Source organism: Homo sapiens, chromosome 17 (genome assembly GCF_000001405.40).
Source record: "Homo sapiens chromosome 17, GRCh38.p14 Primary Assembly".
Classification (NCBI taxonomy): domain Eukaryota; kingdom Metazoa; phylum Chordata; class Mammalia; order Primates; family Hominidae; genus Homo; species Homo sapiens.
Genome location: NC_000017.11, coordinates 56,332,777 through 56,352,168, shown reverse-complemented (window position 1 = coordinate 56,352,168; position 19,392 = coordinate 56,332,777). Strand labels below are relative to the sequence as shown.

Genomic DNA, 19,392 nt, shown 5'->3' with positions numbered 1-19,392 from the left:
AAGTGTTTTATCCACAATCTGCTAAACTGAAGAGCCTCTGATGCTTAGGCCCCGATTTAACCACAGCCAAGTCCTCCCAAAAGATGAGTTTGAAATGCGAAAACATATTAGAAAACAAACGAGTTCAAAGTTAAAGTGCCACCCTGTCCACAGTCGTGTATTTGTTTTTGGCTCTTAGTATTCCTAATTTCTCATGTGCCGTATTTACTCTCACTCTTAAGTCATTTCCTCCTCCAAGCTTTTGTTGGCAAACTTTGGCATGCTTCTATCTGGAAAGGCTAGGACTCATTTCTGTTTTAAGAGCAAACAAATGGTGCCATTACTCCCTGCAAAAATCCCCTTGCTGAGCATGTTAATATTATGCTCTCAGCTTTTACTGAGGGCTGTTCTGAGAAACTATTATATGAGAATACCTGTAACATCATGAGTTCCACTATTTACGCCATTCTCTATTACATAACTCACTATGACATCTACAAGGTCCAGAGGACTGAGCAACAGGTGAATATTCATTCCTCCTGATGGACTGAGACATTTTTAGTTATCAACAGATGGGATGCTATAACCAATTGTGTTTCTTTTTCTGCTTTGACTTTCTGGGAAGTCAGAGATGAATGTAATGATAAATTTCAGGTACAGGTACTATATTTGCCTAGAGTTTTTGATATATCTATTTTTATTCTTATACCCAATATTTTCTTTTCCTAGTTGTTTTTTTTTATATTTTTCCCTTACTTTCCTTCCTTCCTCCTCTCTCTTTGTCTATCATATAATACATGTGCATTCTTTGGATTCTATTTTGAATGCCTTTGGAAAGAATGTGTGGTATACATCAGAAATAAGTAATAATATCATTATTTGAATGAACACTGGAACTCTCAGAAAGCCCATTTAACCTGAGACTTCATAGTTGTCAAGCTGCTTTTTTTTTTGAGGTTTATTTATTTTTTGGTGTAGTGGTGAAATAAAAATTAAGAGAGAAGAAAAAGAAACAAAAAGAAAGAGAAACAGCTCACAATCACTCAGACTTTGTCTAACAACATAAATATGTACAGTTACTACCCTACCTGAATCTATTCCAGCATTTATAAAATTGCAAGCATCAACTTCTGAAGTAAACATGAATCATCTTAGAATATCCTTAAACCCAAACATAAATGAATAAATCAAACTGACACAAGAATAAAAACAGTTTTGTTACCACCGAGGTCTTCCTGAGACTCAGCCGATCAGTTCTTGTCCTAAAATAGGCCTCATCGAAGGAAGAGTGGCTCCCTTTCAGTTTCTCAGAGAGGTTCCTGTACAGGCGTTTGGCTGCGTTGGGAGATGAGGGAGCACTATGTTTTTTTGACTGACAGAGATGTAAATTTTGCATTTGTTGCGTCATTTTCACACGACAATTCCTAAGAAGAGGAAAGTCCGATGTTATATCTTTTACACCACAAATTATAAGTTGACATATGATTTTATCATCTCCAGTCAGTATCTGGAATCCAAATACAATATTAGAGCTGGTAGGGACCTTAGAGATTATCAGACCCAGCTTTTTTTATGTTTTAAATGAGAAAGCTGAAACCCAGGGAAAGGAAGCAGCTTACTCATGGCCACAGAGCTAATTGGTGGCAGGAATGAAACGACAACCTCCATTTACTATATAAACATATTCATTCACATACAGACATATATATGATTGAACCTCGACTCAAGTCTTTACTTCTCTATCCCAAGTGAGGAAGTGTCTCTCTGTAACCTAGGGGGTCTGTTCAATTCCTCTTGGGTATATATAATTGGGACTTTTCTACTTACATCCACCTAGATGTTGGCTTCTGTTGGGTATATAAGAAAGTGAGGCTTTGTCTCAGATGGACAGACACAAGTTACCTTCTGCATAGCCCCAATCTCTTGAGGTAGCAGTTAACTTGCATCTGTCCTCTGTCCATCTGAGGCTTGGTGAACTATCCCAGTATGCATAAATTTGGGGAATTTGTACCCATAGGTCCATCCCTGCTTACCCCAGATACCCTGGCTGGGGCCCACCAAGGCACTCACTACTGGCATTCTTCAATTAGTACTTGACCATTGTTTCAGAAATCTCTAACGAGGTCCTCACCAATGTCACAACTGAAGTCAGTTTCCAGATCAGCCATGCCATTCAAAAGCCATCCACAATAACTGTGGGTATTGCTCTTGAAATTTTGATGCTATCAAGACTCTGGCTGCCTGGCATGTGTATATGTATTGGATGAACAAAGGAATGAGAGAAATAACTAGCCAAGGTAATTATGTGCAAAGTGTCTCCCTGGTAGAGCCTCTGATGCACTGGGCCCAGCGTTCTCTGGAGCATGTCACTGCCTTCTCACCACTTCCCCTCAGATGTTTTAAATTTAATTTTTAAAATTGGTATATAATAAATATACACATTTTGGGGTATATGTGATAATTTAGTACATTTATATAATTTATAAAGATCAAATCAGTGTAGTTGGGATTCCCATCACGTTAAATATTTAGGAGCCTAGTATCTAGGAAGACTCATAGTAGCTAATATTTTTGTTGTTGTAGGCTTTCAATAGATAATTTAGAATAAATGAGTGCACATATGAGAGTCTATTATATTTAATATACTAGAGCACTACCCAGAAGTTAATTTCATCCTCATGCCTTTGAACTGGGTTCCATGTCTGCTAGCACAAACTAACTTTGATTCGCCTTGACTTTAAGAAATGGAGATTCATCTTCATTATATTGTTAAATGTCCTCAGGCTTTTTTTTTTTCCAGCTTTTAAGTTCGTGGCTACATGTGCAGGATGTGTAGGTTTGTTACATAGGTAAATGTGTGCTATGGTGGTTTGCTGCACAGATTATCCGTTTACCTAGGTATTAAGCCCAGCATCCATTAGCTATTCTTCCTGATGCTCTCCCTCTTCCCAGCCCGCACTCACTGACAGGACCCAGTATGTGTTGTTCCTCGCCATGTGTCCATGTGTTCTCATCATCCAGCTCCTACTTATAAGTGAGAACGTGTAATATTTGATTTTCTGTTCCTGCATTAGTTTGCTGAGGCTAATGGCTTCCAGCTTCATCCATGTCCCTACAAAGAACATGATCTCATTTCTTTTTATGGCTACATAGTATTCCATGGTGTATATATACCATATGTTCTTTATTCAGTCTATCATTGATGGGCATTTAGGTTGATTCTGTGTCTTTGCTGTTGTGAATAGTGCTGCAGTGAATATATGCATGCATGTATCTTTATAATAGAATGGTTTATATTCCTTTGGGTGTATGCCCAGTATTGGGATTGTATTTCTGCCTCTAGGTATTTGAGGAATCACCATACTGTCTTCCACAATCATTGAACTAATTTACACTCCCACCAATACTGTAAAAGTGTTTTGTTTTCTCCACAATCTGGCCAGAATCTGTTGTTTTTTGACTTTTTAGTAATAGGCATTCTGACTGGTGTGAGATGGTAACTCATTGTGGATTTTATCTAATGATCAGTGATGTTGAGCTTTTTTGCATGTTTATTGGCCACATGTATATCTTTTGAGAAGTGTCTGTTCATGTCTTTTGCCCACTTTTTAATGGGGTTGTTGTTTTTTCTTATAAATTTGTTCAAGTTCCTTGTAGATGCTGGATATCAGACCTTTTCAAATGCGTGGTTTGCAAATATTTTGCCCATTCTGTAGGTTGTCTGTTCCCTCTGATGATAGTTTCTTTTGCTGAGGCACCTTTTAAGTTTTGTCTGCAACTTTCTTCAAAACAAAAAGACTTCCTAGATCCTTTTAAGGTGGTCCTACTTAGTCAATCTTAGTAATGTCCAGGAGGCCCTACCCAGTTTTAGCTAAATGGACATATTTACATTTGGAAGGATGATGCCAAGCATTGTCTGTAATGTGTATGTATGTGTATGTTTTTATAAATCTTTAATAACATTCTCAAAAGTAGAAATGGAAAGGGAGGTTATCTGGCATCTTTTTTCTTCCATCTACAAATCCTTTACCTTTGATTCAATAGCAAATAGGAGGTTTTCTCTAACTTATTTTTTTCCATTCTCATAAAAATTTCAGATTCATATGCAAGCTGGCTCACATGGGGATTGCCTTAACCTCTTTCTTTCTGCCTTCTGTCTCTAGCTTTTTCCTTCAGCATTAATGCCCCAGTTCAAGCCATCTGTTTTCTCTACATCATTATTGTTCCCAAAATAACTCTACATTCTTTTGTATCTCCCACAATGCCCAGAAGTCCAGTAAATAAATTCTTGTCTATTGATCAAATTCCAGCTACTTGCCCTCTAACTGATGACACCTACCCACATGGCCCCTTTTGTCTTTGCTCATCTCCCATCTGTTCCCTTCAGTCAACATAGGTTGACTTTCTCTGTCTCTCTGACTTCCTTCTCATCCTCCCCCAGCTGTCCCTTCCTTCCAGGCTATTCTGTAGCCGTTTCCACTCTTCTAGCTTTCATCTATCATTATGTTTTCTTTTTCTCCTCTATATTTAAAATTTTGTCAGATAAGATGGTAAGAAAGACAACTTTCTGTTATTTGTTATTACAAATATGCATGACCCTCCCAACTAATTGTGCTCTTAAATTTTTACCCTTATGGAAAGAGACAAGCATTTGAGAATCAGTGTAGCTTTAGTTTTGGGATTTGGTAGACCCAATTGGAATCTTGATATTGTTACCTATAATCTGTGTGACTTTGGGAATCTCATTTCAATTCTATGAATTCATGTCATCATTATCAAAAGACACTTATCAAAACTCTTTTTTTCTAGAATTGTGAAGATTAATCAACAAATGAAAGGTACCTATTCTGTTTTGTGCATAGTATCCACTCAATAAATAGTAGAAATTATCACCTTAAGTCTTTTTCTCAAAATAGAGACACCAAAGTATATCATAACAATTTAAATAGTTTTATTGCTTGTCTTAAATAATGTCTTGAAACTAATTTTATGTACTCAAGTAGAGACTTCTGTGTGTTTGTTTATAGTAACATATACTAAAACAGATATAGGAAGTGGAAACTTCAAACTATTAGAGGGAAGGGTGGAATAAAGATTAATCTAAAATAATTTAAAAATAAAAAAATAAAAAAACATAATAAATAGAAAATGTAAAATGAAGTCATAAGGTTAATGTCCTAATATTGTCTTTTCATAAATGATAAAATAAACTCAGGGAATTTAAATAAGGTGCCCAAAGTCACAGAGATTGTAGGTAACAGTATCAGAATTTCATTTGGGCCTGCCAAATTCCAGAACCAAAACTATAGGTTGAATATATCTGTGTGCACAATATATTCAAAAGTTTACTTTTCCTAATAAAAGACAAAGACTCTCCAAGCAGAATTCCTAAAAAGCCATTTACAAATGGTACACCTAAAAAAAATTTCACATAAAGATTCAAAATTAAAAAAAAAATAGTACGTCAATGGGAATGGCAGAGAAAGGACTTCCAAAAGTCCCTTTCTCCATAACAGCAAAGAGAACCATAGCAAAAATGGCTAAAATTAACTTTTTCAGGATCTGGGATATTAACCAAAGGCTTGCAGCAATCCAGGATGTCTTTATTCAAGAAAAATGGCTAAATTTAGTAAGAACAGCAAGCTTTGTGGCATTTTAACTTGCCCTATTCCCATCTTCTCCAGCTCTGTGGCAGTCTTGGAAACCAACAGTTTACATTCATGGTAAAAGCAGTGGCCTGTCCCATCAAGTTACCATTGACTTTCTTGGCAGAATTAGAAAAAAATAATTTAAATTTCATCTAGAACCAAAAAAGAGCCCGTATAGCCAAGACAATCCTAAGCAAAAAGAACAAAGCTGGCGGCATCATGCTGTCTGACTTCAAACTATACTACAAGGCTATAGTAACCAAAACAGCATGGTACTGGTACCAAAACAGAGATATAGACCAACGGAACAGAACAGAGACCTCAGAAGTAACACCACACATTTACAACCATCTGATCTTCAACAAACCTGACAAAAACAAGCAATGTGGAAAGGATTCCCTATTTAATAAATAGTGCTGGGAAAACTGGCTAGCCATATGCAGAAAACAGAAACTGAACCCCTTCATCACATCTTATACAAAAATTAACTCAAGATGGATTAAAAACTTAAATGTGAAACCCAAAACCATAAAAACCCTAGAAGAAAACCTAGGCAATACCATTCAGGACATAGGCATGGGCAAAGACTTCATGACTAAAACATGAAAAGCAATTGCAAAAAAAGCCAAAATTGACAAATGGGAGCTAATCAAACTAAAGAGCTTCCGCACAGCAAAAGAAACTATCATCAGAGTGAAGAGGCAACCTAGAGGTTGGGAGAAAACTTTTGCAATCTGCCCCTCTGACAAAGGTCTAATATCCAGAATCTACAAGGTACTTAAATAAATTTACAAGAAAAAAACAACCCCATCAAAAAGTAGGCAAAGATATGAACAGACACTTCTCAAAAGAAGACATTTATGTGGCCAACAAACATATGAAAAAAAGATTATCATCACTGGTCATTAGAGAAATGCAAATCAAAACCACAATGACATACCATCTCATGCCATTTAGGATGACAATTATTAGAGAGTCCTGAAACAACAGATGCTGGAGAGGATGTGGAGAAACAGGAATGCTTTTACACTGTTGGTGGGAGTGTAAATTAGTTCAACTGTTGTGAAAGACAGTGTGGTGATTCCTCAAGGATCTAGAACCAGAAATATCATTTGACCCAGTGATCCCATTACTGGATATATACCCAAAGGATTATAAATCATTCTACTATAAAGACACATGCACATGTATGTTTATAGTAGCACTGTTTACAATAGCAAAGACTTGGAACCAACCCAAATGCCCATCAATGATAGGCTGGATAAAGAAAATGTGGCACATATACACCATGGAATACTACGCAGCCATAAAACAGAATGAGCTCATGTCCTTTGCAGGGACATGGATGAAGCTGTAAGCCATCATTCTCAGCAAACTGTCACAGGAACATATAACCAAACACTGCATGTTCTCACTCATAAGTGGGGTTGAACAATGAGAACACATGGGCACAGGGAGAGAAGCATCACACACTGGGGTCTGTCGGTGGGTGTGGCCAAGGGGAGGGAGAGCATTAGGACAAATACCTAATACATGCGGGGCTTAAAACCTAGATGATGAGTTGATAGGTGCAGCAAACCACCAGGGCACATGTATACCTATGTAACAAACTTGCACATTCTGCACATGTATCCCAGAACACAAAGTAAAATTAAAAAACACGCAAACAAACAAACAAAAAAACAGTAGCCTGTCAGCCACTGGAAGGGGGCAGAATGGGGTTGTAGCTCCTTTAAAATGCCTCTTCCAGAGAACTGTCATTATTTCATCTGTCTGGGGGTTTTCTAGAAAATCCTACTCACAAGGCTTATCTTCATTCGCTCTGACTTAGAGCTCATGAAGGGCTAATAGCCTTTTTTTCTGTTGTTTTTTTTTCTTTCCAAAAACAAAGATTAGTAATTGTTTAACAGTAGTTTAACTATGTTAGATGGAGAATTAGATGTCCACAGAGAGCTTTGAAAAGCTCTGTCATTTTCCTGAGAATCTAACAGACTACAGGGCAGGGAGCATGCTCAGAAAAGACCTGAGAAGATCCTAAAATCTCATCTCTGTCTGACTTCATGGCTCTGCAAGCAGGAAGTGAAGACTAAGGTGGTATTTTCAGCTGCCTGGCTGAGTATTGAAGGTGTGCCCCAACACACACATGCAGAGCTCTTCAGCAAAAACTAGGATGCTTATCAGTTCTAGGCATTTAAGGAAATCTCTGTTCAATCATTAACTCACCACTAAGTTAACCAAGTAGCAACTTCAGTGGCCACATATAACAAAAAAATATAGATTTTACAAATTTAATTCTGAAAACTCATTAAACAACAATGAACACTGGGGAGAAGGGGTAATATAGTTTCCAGAGTTGCTACATCATTAATAAAATGCTTAGTTTTCAAGAAAACTATGTATGAGGCATGTACAGAAACAGAAACTATGTCCCATACGAGGAAATAAAGCAGTCAATAGAAATGATTCCTGCAGAAGCCCAAATATTGGGCTTACTACACAAAGACCTTTATATTAGCTATTTTAAATATGTTCAAAGAGCTAAACCATACCCAAAGAAATAAAGAAAATTCTGAGAATGATGTCTTGCCAAATAGAAAATATAATAAAGAGATAGAAATTATGAAGAAAATCAAGAACTAAATAGAAATTCTAAAATTTAAAAGTACATTAACAAATGAAAAATATACTCAACAGCAGATTTGAGCAGGCAGAGGAAAGAATCAGCAAACATAAAGATAGATCAATCAAGATTATCCAGTATGAGGAGTGAAAAAATATGAAGAAATGTGAAGAGTGCAGAGATCCTTGGAACACTGTCAAGTATACCAATATACAAATAATAGGAGTCCCAGGAGAAGAAGAGAGGTATAGAAAGGCTATTTGAAGAAATAATGGCCAAAATATGCCCCTATTTAACTATGCATCAACAGGCTCAATGAACATTAAGTAGAATAAACTCAAAGAGAGCCACATCTAGATACATCAAAATCAAACCATTAGAAGCCAAAGACATAGAGAGAAAGTTAAAGATAGCAAGAGAGAAAAGACTCATCACATTACAAGGATCCTCAAAAAGATTAACAGCTAATTTTCACCAAAAATCACAGGGGCCAAAAAGAAGTGGTAAAACATAATCAAAGTGATGAACAAAAAAGACTGTCAAGAATTTCTCTACCCAACAAAACTACATTTCAAAAATACAGAGGAAATTAAGATACTGCCAGATAAACAAAAACTTTGATATTATACCTACTGTACAATAAACACAAACACGACACCTTCAGGTTGAAATGAAAGAACACTAGATAGTAATGCAAATCCACATGAAGAAAGATAAATAATTGAGCAATGACACATATAGACTCAAAATAAAGGGATGAGGAAAAGCTACCAAACAAATGGAAAACAGAAAAAAGCAGAATTTGCAATCCTACTATCTGGCAAAACAGACTTTAAACCAACAAAGAACAACAACAAAAACCAAGAAAGACATTACATAATGGTAAAGGGTTCAATTCAGCAAGAATGTCTAACTATCTTAAATATCTTAATATATATGCAACCAACACAGGAGCACTCAGATTCATAAAGCAAGTTCTTAGAGACCTTCAAAGAGACTTAGACTCCCACACAATAACAGTGGGAGACTCTAACACCCCACTGACAGTATAAGACAGATCACCAAGACAGAAAATTAACAAAGATGACCTGAACTCAACACTGAAACAAATGGACCTGATAGATATCTATAGAACTCTCCACCCCAGAACAACAGAATATACACTTTTCTAATCACCACATGGTACTTACTCTAAAATTGATCACATAATTGGAAGTAAAACACTCCTTAGTAAATGCAGAACTGAAATCATATCAAACAATCTCTTGGACCACGTTACAATCAAATTAGAACTCAGGACTAAGAGATTCACTCAAAACCATACAATTACATGGAAATTGAATAATATGCTCCTGAATGGCATTTGGGTAAATAATTAAATTAAGGCAGAAATCAAGAAGTTCTTTGAAACTAATGAGAACAAAAATACAATGTACCAGAATCTCTGGGACACAGCTAAGGCAGTGTTAAGAGGGAAATTTACAGCACTAAGTGCCCCCATTAAGAAGTTAGATCTCAAGTTAACAACCTAACATCACAACAAAAAAACCTAGAGAACCAAGAGCAAACAAATCCCAAAGCTAGCAGAAGACAAGAAATAACCAAAATCAGAGCTGAACTTAAGGAGGTAGAGACATGAAAAACCATTCAAAAGATCAATTAATCAAGGAGCTTTTTCTTTGAAAAAAAAAAAAGATAAACCATTAGCTAGAATAATAAAGAAGAAAAGAGAGAATATTCAAATAAACACATCAGAAATTATAAGGGGGATATTACCACTGACTCCACAGAAATACAAACAACTATCAGAGAATATGATAAACACCTCTATGCACATAAACCAGAAAATCTAGAAGAAATGGATAAATTCCTGGTCACATACACCCTCCCAACACTGAACCAAGAAGAAACTGAATCCCTGAAGAGGCCAATAATGAGTTCTGAAATTGATGCAGTAATAAATAGCCTACCAAGCAAAAAAAGCCCAGGGCCAGATGGAGTCACAGCTGAATTCTACCAGATGTACAAAGAAAAGCTGGTATCGTTCCTACTGAAACGATTCCAAAAAATTGCAAAGGAGGGACTTTTCCCTAACTGATTCTATGAGGCCAGCATCACCCTGATACCAAAACCTGGCAGAGCTATAATAAAAAAAAAAACTTTAGGCCAATGTCCTGGAAGAACATTGATGCAAAAATCCTCAACAAAATACTGGCAAACTAAATCCAGCAGCACATCAAAAAGTATATCCACCATGATGAAATAGGCTTCATCCTTAGGATGCAAAGTTGGTTCAACATATGCAAATCAATAAATGTGATTCATCACATAAAGAGAACTAAAGAAAAAAAGCCACATGATTATCTCAATAGATGAAAAAAAGGTTTCTGATAAAATTCAACATCTCTTCATGTTAACAACTCTCAATAAACTAGGTACTGAAGGAACATACCTCAAAATAATAAGAGCCATGTATGACAAACTCACAGCCAACATCATACTGAATGGGCAAAAGCTGGAAGCATTCCCCTTGAAAACCGGCATAAAACAAGGATGTCCTCTCCCACTACTCCTATTCAACATAGCACTGGAAGTTCTGGACAAGGCAATCAGGCAACAGAAAGAAAGAAAGGGCATTCAAATAGGAAGAGAGGAAGTCAAAACTATCCCTGTTTGCAGATGATATGATCTTATATCTAGAAAATCCCACAGTCTCAGCCCCAAATCTTCTTAAACTGATAAACAACTTTAGCAAAGTCTCAGGATACAAAATCAATGTGCCAAAACTACTAGCATTCCTATATACCAACAACAGTCAAGCCAACAGCCAAAAGAGGAATCTACTCCCATTCACAACTGTCACAAAAAGAATAAAATACCTAGGAATTCTGCTAACTAGGGGGGTGAAAGATCTCTACAAGGAGAACTAAAACCACTGCTCAAATAAATCAGAGATGACACAAACAAATGGAAAAACATTCCATGCTCATGGATAGGAAGAATCAATATCATGAAAATGGCCATACTGCCCAAAGCAATTTATAGATTTAATGCTACTCCTATTAAACTACCATTCACATTCTTCACAGAACTAGCAAAAACTATTTTAAAATTCATATAAAACCAAAAAAAGAGCCCGAATAGTCAAGACAATCCTAAGCAAAAAGAACAAAGCTGGAGGCAGCATGCTACCCAACTTTGAACTATAACACAGGGGTACAGTAAACAAAACAGCATGGTACTGGCACAAGAACAGAGACATAGACCAATGGAAAAGAATAGCAAACCCAGAAATAAGACTGTGCACCTACAACTATCTGATCTTCGACAAAGTTGATAAAGACAATAGGGAAAGGATCCCCTATTCAATAAATGGTGCTGGGATAACTGGCTAGGCATAAGCAGAAGACTGAAACTGGAACCCTTCCTTACATCATATATAAAAATTAACTCAAGATAGATTAAAGACTTAAATGTAAATCCCAAAACTATAAAAAAAACCCTGGAAGACAACCTAGGCTGTGTCATTCAGGACATAGGCATGGGCAAATATTTCATGATGAAGATGCCAAAAGCATTTGCAACAAAAGCAAAAACTGACAAGTGGGATCTAATTAAACTAAAGAGCTTCTGCACAGCAAAAGAAACTATCAACACAGTAAACAGACAACTTACAGAAAAAGAGAAATTTTTTGCAAACTATACATCTGACGAGGTCTAATACCCAGCATCTACAAGGAACTTAAACAAATTTACAAGAAACAAACAACCCCATCAAAAAGTGGGCAAAGGACATGAACAGACACTTTTTCTTCAAAAGAAGACATACATGCAGCCAACAATCATATGAAAAAAGCTCATCATTACTAATCATTAGAGAAATACAAATCAAAACCACAATGAGATACCATCACACACTAGTCAGAATGGCTACTATTAAAAAGTCAAAACATAACAGTTGCTGGCAAGTTTGTGGAGGAAAAGGAACACTTATACACTGTTGGTGGGAGTGTAAATTAGTCCAGCCATTGTGGAAAACAGTGTGGTGATTCCTCAAAGACCTAAAGACAGAAATACCATTTGACTCAGCAATCCCAATACTGTGTATATACCCAAAGGAATATAAACCATTGTATTATAAAGACATACATGCATATGTTCATTGCAGGACTATTCACAGTAGCAAAGACATGGAATCAACCTAAATGTCCATCAATGATAGACTGAATAAGGAATATGTGGTACACATATAACATGGAATACTATGCAGCTATAAAAAGAACAAGATTATGACCTTTGCAGGGACATGGGTGGAGCTGGAGGCCATTATCCTTAGCAAACTAACACAGGAATAGAAAACCAAATATTGCAGGTTGTCACTTATAAGTGAGAGCTAAATGATAACACATGGACACATAGAGGGGAACAAGAGATACTGGGGCCTTTCAGAGGGTGAAGGATAGGAAGAGGGAGAGGATCAGGAAAAACAACTAATGGGTACTAGGCTTAACACCTGGGTGATGAAACAATCTGTACAACAAAACCCCATGACACAAGTTTACCTATATAACAAACCTGCACTGATACCCTGAACTTAAACCAAAGTTAAAAAAGAGAAAGCATCGAGAAGGAAATTATACAGAAAAATATAAAATACAGTATAAATATAAAGAGAGCATAAACTTATCTTTTATTTTTGTATTTTTTCTCCTTTCTGATTTAAATGACAATGAAATGGAAATGAAATAAAGAAAACAATTTAATTTACAATAGCATCAAAAGATTAAAATACTTAGAAATAAATTTAACAAAAGAAGTAAAAAAACTAATTTTCAGAAAATACAAAACACCATTGAAATAAATTAAGAAAAATATAAACAAATAGAAAGACATTCCTTGTTCATGGATTAGAAGCCTTGATATTGCCCACCCAATGGGAGGCACTGGCTGGAAATTGGAGAGTAAGGTAGTGATATTTACCCCTCTTCATCTGTGGGGTATCCCTTTCAATACAACTTATTTCCTCTGCATTACAGAAATTGCTCCTCCTTTTGTCCCTTCAGGCTTTACCATTCCTTACTGGTTTTCACTAACTTGCCCATTCTTTTGTAAGTGTTCTTATTAGTAACCTCCCCTCTGTTCTTCTGTTTGAATGCACTATATGATTCTTGCTGGGATCTTGAATAATACATCATGTAATCTCTATAGCATCCATAAGAGTATCTTGAAATGGATAGCAACGGTACTCTTTGCAACTTTAAACTGAACTGAAAAAAAGAAACCTCAAGTGTTAAATAAATATACGGCAGGTAAAATAAATATAGAGTCCTTTAAAAAGACTGGACAAGGAAACTGTATCTGTTGTGTTAAATCTGGGATATCACTCTTAAGAGAGCGTTCCTTATTAGCCATTTTCACTGAAAAACCCACAGGTTGAAGTCTATCATTACATTTTATTCCATTCTTTAAAATTATACTTTAAGTTCTAGGGTACATGTGCACAATGTACAGGTTTGTTACATAGGTATACATGTGCCATGTTGGTTTGCTGCACCCATTAACTCATCATTTACATTAGGTACTTCTCCTAGTGCTATCCCTCCCCCAGCTCCCCACCCCACTACAGGCCCTGGTGTGTGATGTTCCCCGCCCTGTGTCCAAGTGTTCTCATTGTTCAATTCCCACCTATGAGTGAGAACATGCGCTGTTTGGTTTTCTGTCCTTGTGATAGTTTGCTGAGAATGATGGTTTCCAGCTTCATCCATGTCTCTGCAAAGGACATGAAATCATACTTTTTTATGGCTGCATAGTGTTCCATGTGTATATGTGCCACATTTTCTTAATCCAGTCTATCATTGATGGACATTTGGGTTGGTTCCAAGTCTTTGCTATTGTGAATAGTGCCGCAATAAGCATACGTGTGCACGTGCCTTTATATAGCATGATTTATAATTCTTCGGGCATATACCCAGTAATGGAATCGCTGGGTCAAATGGTATTTCTAGTTCTAGATCCTTGAGGAATCCCCACACTGTCTTCCACAATGGTTGAACTAGTTTACACTCCCACCAATGGTGTAAAAGTGTTCCTATTTCTCCACATCCTCTCCAGCATCTGTTGTTTCCTGATTTTTTAATGATCGCCATTCTAACTGGTGTGAGATGGTATCTCATTGTGGTTTGAATTTGCATTTCTCTGATGACCAGTGATGATGAGCATTTTTTCATGTGTCTGTTGGCTGCATAAATGTCTTCTTTTGAGAAGTGTCTGTCCATATCCTTTGCCCACTTTTTGATGGGGTTGCTTTTTTTCTTGTAAATTTGTTTCAGTTCTTTGGATATTAGCCCTTTGTCAGATGAGTAGATTGCAAAAATTGTCTCCCATTCTGTAAGTTGCCTGTTGACTCTGACGGTAGTTTCTTTTGCCGTGCAGAAGCCCTTTAGTTTAATTAGATCCCATTTGTCAATTTTGGCTTTTGTTGCCATTGCTTTTGGTGTTTTAGTCATGAAGTCCTTGCCTGAGCACCCAGATTGATAAAACAAGTCCTTAGAGACCTACAAAGAGACTTAGACTCCCACACAATAATGATGGGAGACTTTAATACCCCATTGTCAATATTAGACAGATCGACGAGACAGAAGGTTAACAAGGATATCCAGGACTTGAACTCAGCTCTGCAAGAAGTGGACCTAACAGACATCTACAGAACTCTCAACCCCAAATCAACAGAATATACATTCTTCTCAGCACCACATCGCACTTATTCCAAAATTGACCACATAGTTGGAAGTAGAGCACTCCTCAGCAAATGTAAAAGAACAGAAATCACAACAAACTGTCTCTCAGACCACAGTGCAATCAAATTAGAACTCAGGATTAAGAAACTTTCCCAAAACTGCACAACTACATGGGAACAAAACAACCTGCTCCTGAATGACTACTGGGTAAATAACGAAAGGAAGGCAGAAATAAAGATGTTCTTTGAAACCAATGAAACAAAGACACAACATACCAGAATCTCTGGGACACATTTAAAGCAGTGTGTAGAGGGAAATTTATAGCACTAAATGCCCACAAGAGAAAGCAGGAGAGATCTAAAATCGACACCCTAACATCACAATTAAAAGAACTAGAGAAGCAAGAGCAAACAAATTCAAAAGCTAACAGAAGGCAATAAATAACTAAGATCAGAGCAGAACTGAAGGAGATAGAGACACAAAAAACCCTTCAAAAAAATCAATGAATCCAGGAACTGGTTTTTTGAAAAGATCAACAAAATTGATAGACCTCTAGCAAGACTAATAAAGAGGAAAAGAGAGAAGAATCAAATAGATGCAATAAAAAATGATAAAGGGGATATCACCACCGATCCCACAGAAATACAAACTACCATCAGAGAATACTATAAACGCTTCTACACAAATAAACTAGAAAATCTAGAAGAAATGGATAAATTCCTGGCCGCATACACCCTCCCAAGACTAAACCAGGAAGAAGTTGAATCTCTGAATAGACCAATAACAGACTCTGAAATTGAGGCAATAATCAATAGCCTACCAACCAAAAAGAGTCCAGGACCAGATGGATTCCCAGCCGAATTCTACCAGAGGTACAAAGAGGAGCTGGTACCATTCCTTCTGAAACTATTCCAATCAATAGAAAAAGAGGGAATCCTCCTTAACTCATTTTATGATGAAGCCAGCATCATCCTGATACCAAAGCCTGGCAGAGACACAACAAAAAAAGAGAATTTTAGACCAATATCCCTGATGAACATCGATGCGAAAATCCTCAATAAAATACTGGCAAACTGAATCCAGCAGCTCATCAAAAAGCTTATCCATCAAGATCAAGTTGGCTTCATCCCTGGGATGCAAGGCTGGTTCAACATACAAAAATCAATAAACGTAATCCATTACATAAACAGAACCAACGACAAAAACCACATGATTATCTCAAAGATGCAGAAAAGGCCTTTGACAAAATTCAACAGCATTTCATGCTAAAAACTCTCAATAAACTAGGTATTGGTGGAACATATCTCAAAATAATAAGAGCTATTTATGACAAACCCACAGCCAATATCATACTGAATGGGCAGAAACTGGAAGCCCTCCCTTTGAAAACTGGCACAAGACAGGGATGCCCTCTCTCACCACTCCTATTCAACATAGTGTTGGAAGTTCTGGCCAGGGCAATCAGGCAAGAGAAAGAAATAAAGGGTATTCAATTAGGAAAAGAGGAAATCAAATTGTCCCTGTTTGCAGATGACATGATTGTATATTTAGAAAACCCCATCATCTCAGCCCAAAATCTCCTTAAGCTGATAAGCAACTTCAGCAAAGTCTCGGGATACAAAATCAATGTGCAAAAATCACAAGCATTCCTATACACCAATAACAAACAGAGAGCCAAATCATGAGTGAACTCCCATTCTCAATTGCTACAAAGAGAATAAAATATGTAGGAATCCAACTTACAAGGGAAGTGAAGGGCCTCTTCAAGGAGAACTACAAATCACTGCTCAACGAAATAAAGGAGGACAGAAACAAATGGAAGAAGAGTCCATGCTCATGGTTAGGAAGAATCAATATCGTGAAAATGGCCATACTGCCCAAGGTAATTTATAGATTCAATGCCATCCCCACCAAGCTACCAATGACTTTCTTCACAGAATTGGAAAAAACTACTTTAAAGTTCATATGGAACCAAAAAAGAGCCCGCATTGCCAAGACAATTCTAAGCAAAAAGAACAAAGCTGGAGGCATCATGCTACCTGACTTCAAACTATACTACAAGGCTACAGTAACCAAAACATCATGGTACAAAACAGTGATATAGACCAATGGAACAGAACAGAGACCTCAGAAATAACACCACACATGTACGACCATCTGATTTTTGACAAACCTGACAAAAACAAGCAATGGGGAAACGATTCCCTATTTAATAAATGGTGCTGGAAAAACTGGCTAGCCATATGTAGAAAGCTGAAACTGGATCCCTTCCTTACACCTTCCACAAAAATTAATTCAAGATGGATTAAAGACTTAAATGTTAGACCTAAAACCATAAAAACCCTAGAAGAAAACCTAGGCAATACCATTCAGGATATTTTATTCCATTCTTTATGGTGGTTTTAAGCACAGTATTAAAAGTATGGCTCTGATATAACACTGATTGAACTTTATTTATGTTTTGACTTTTTAACTTATTAACTGTATGACCTTGAGCAACTTATTTAGCTTCCCTGAACCTCAATTTCCTCATAATTAACATTATTCCTCATGTTAATAGTAGTCATGTATTGTCCAAAAAGGGATATCAGAATTTTAAATGAGCAAATACGTATACATTGTTTAGCAGAGTGCTTGAAAAAATAGGTGTTCAATAAATATTAGTTATTATCCTTTAACAGGTCTTTTGAGGTATAATTAACATAAAATAAACTGCATGTTTTAAAAAGTACAATTTGATTAGCTTTGACATAAGTGTTCACTCATGAAACCATTTGTCACAATCAAGATAATGAACATATACATTATCCTTAAAAGTTTCTTTGTGTCTTTTTGTAATCTTTTCCCCCCTCCCCTGATTAAAATCCCTTCACTGCCCCCACAGTTTCTAGGGAAGTATCAACATTCTTGCTGATACTATAGATCATGTTTCATTTTCTTGAATATACACATGGAATATTCAGTATGCACACTTTTAAAATCCACCTTCTTTAAATCAGCGTAAACATTTTGAGATCCATCTATACTCTTCGTGTCAGTAGTCCTTCAGTTTTTATTGCTGAGACGTATTCCATTGTATGGATATGCCACTATTCATTTATTCAATTGTTAGATGTTATTTTAATTTAATAATACTTAATATTTAATAATGAAATTAAATCCCATGGGGTTTGCTTTAAGCAACAAGATGTATCATTTTCTTCCTTAATAAAGATGTAGGGGACCCGAGTTCCAAAGAGAGGGAAACACACGGTTGGTCAAAGGTGGGCTGGTCTCTACAACTTGGCTATAGGACCAGGCTTTAGGAGATATTAGCTAGGAGACCACCTTTTATGGGAATGTTAATTTCTAGTTTTACATTTTCTTTTTCCGTATGCTAATACTTTATCCTAAAATCTTTAATAAATGTCATGTTAAATGTTACAGCCTACCAGACCTTTAAGGAATGATACCAATTCGACATACAACTCTTCCAAAACTTTGGCTTCATTTTCAAGGCTAGTACTGCCTTGATACTAAAACCAGGAAAAAGGCAAGACATGAAAAAAAAGGTATGGACCAATGTCTATCATGAACATGGAGGCAAAAAATTTCAACAAAACGTTAGCAAAATTAAATCCAGCAATGTATATTATAAAAAGGATAATGCATCACGACTAGGCAGGGTTCATTCCAAGAAGGCAAGGTTAGTATAACATTTATCTACCCATTAATGTCAATGTAATTTAATATATTAAAAGAGAGGACAAGGAGGAAAAACTATATGATTATCTCTATGGATTCATAAAAAGCAATTGGATTTAATAATATACAACATTTATTCATGGTAAAAAAATCTTTCAGGAATGTAAGGGAACCTCTTCAATCTGATTAAAAGAATATTTTAAAACCTATAGCCAATATCATACTTAATGAGTAAAGACTAAGCTCTTCTATCTAAGATCAGAAACAAGGCAAAAATGTCTACTCCTACTTTTTCTATTGTACTGGGCATCCTAGCCAGTGAAGTAGGGCAAGAAAAATAAGTCGAAGACATATATATTGGAAAGAAAGAAATGAGATAGTCTTCATTTGCAGATAACATGAAAGTTTACATAGAATAATCTAATAAATCTATAAAAATCTACTTATGAAAAGCCTGGATGCTGAACATGACATGATATTAAATAATGAAATTAAAGAAGATATATATATATATATATATACACACATATATACACACCTTGTTCATGGATTGGAAGAATAGGTATTGTTAAAGTGTCAGTTCTTCCAAACTGACATATACATTCAATGCAATCTCAATCAAAATCCTAGCAGGCTTTTTATTTCAGTAGAAATTGACAAGCAGATTCTAAAATTTTTACAGAAATGGAAAGGATCTAAAATAGCCAAAACAATTTTGAAAAAG

General features: G+C 36.2%; 1 protein-coding gene across 14 annotated transcripts in view; it reads right to left on the bottom strand.

Annotated features, from left to right (window-relative positions):
- The window catches only part of ANKFN1 (ankyrin repeat and fibronectin type III domain containing 1), a 470,940-nt gene that overhangs the window by 164,848 nt on the left and 286,700 nt on the right, over positions 1-19,392 (bottom strand). For all 14 annotated transcript variants that reach the window (XM_047435502.1, XM_017024263.2, XM_011524430.3 and 11 more), the window contains one exon: positions 1,202-1,403. In XM_047435502.1, coding sequence (XP_047291458.1) covers positions 1,202-1,387 — 186 coding nt within the window. In that variant the 5' untranslated portion in view covers positions 1,388-1,403. The remainder of the gene's footprint in view (positions 1-1,201; positions 1,404-19,392) is intronic.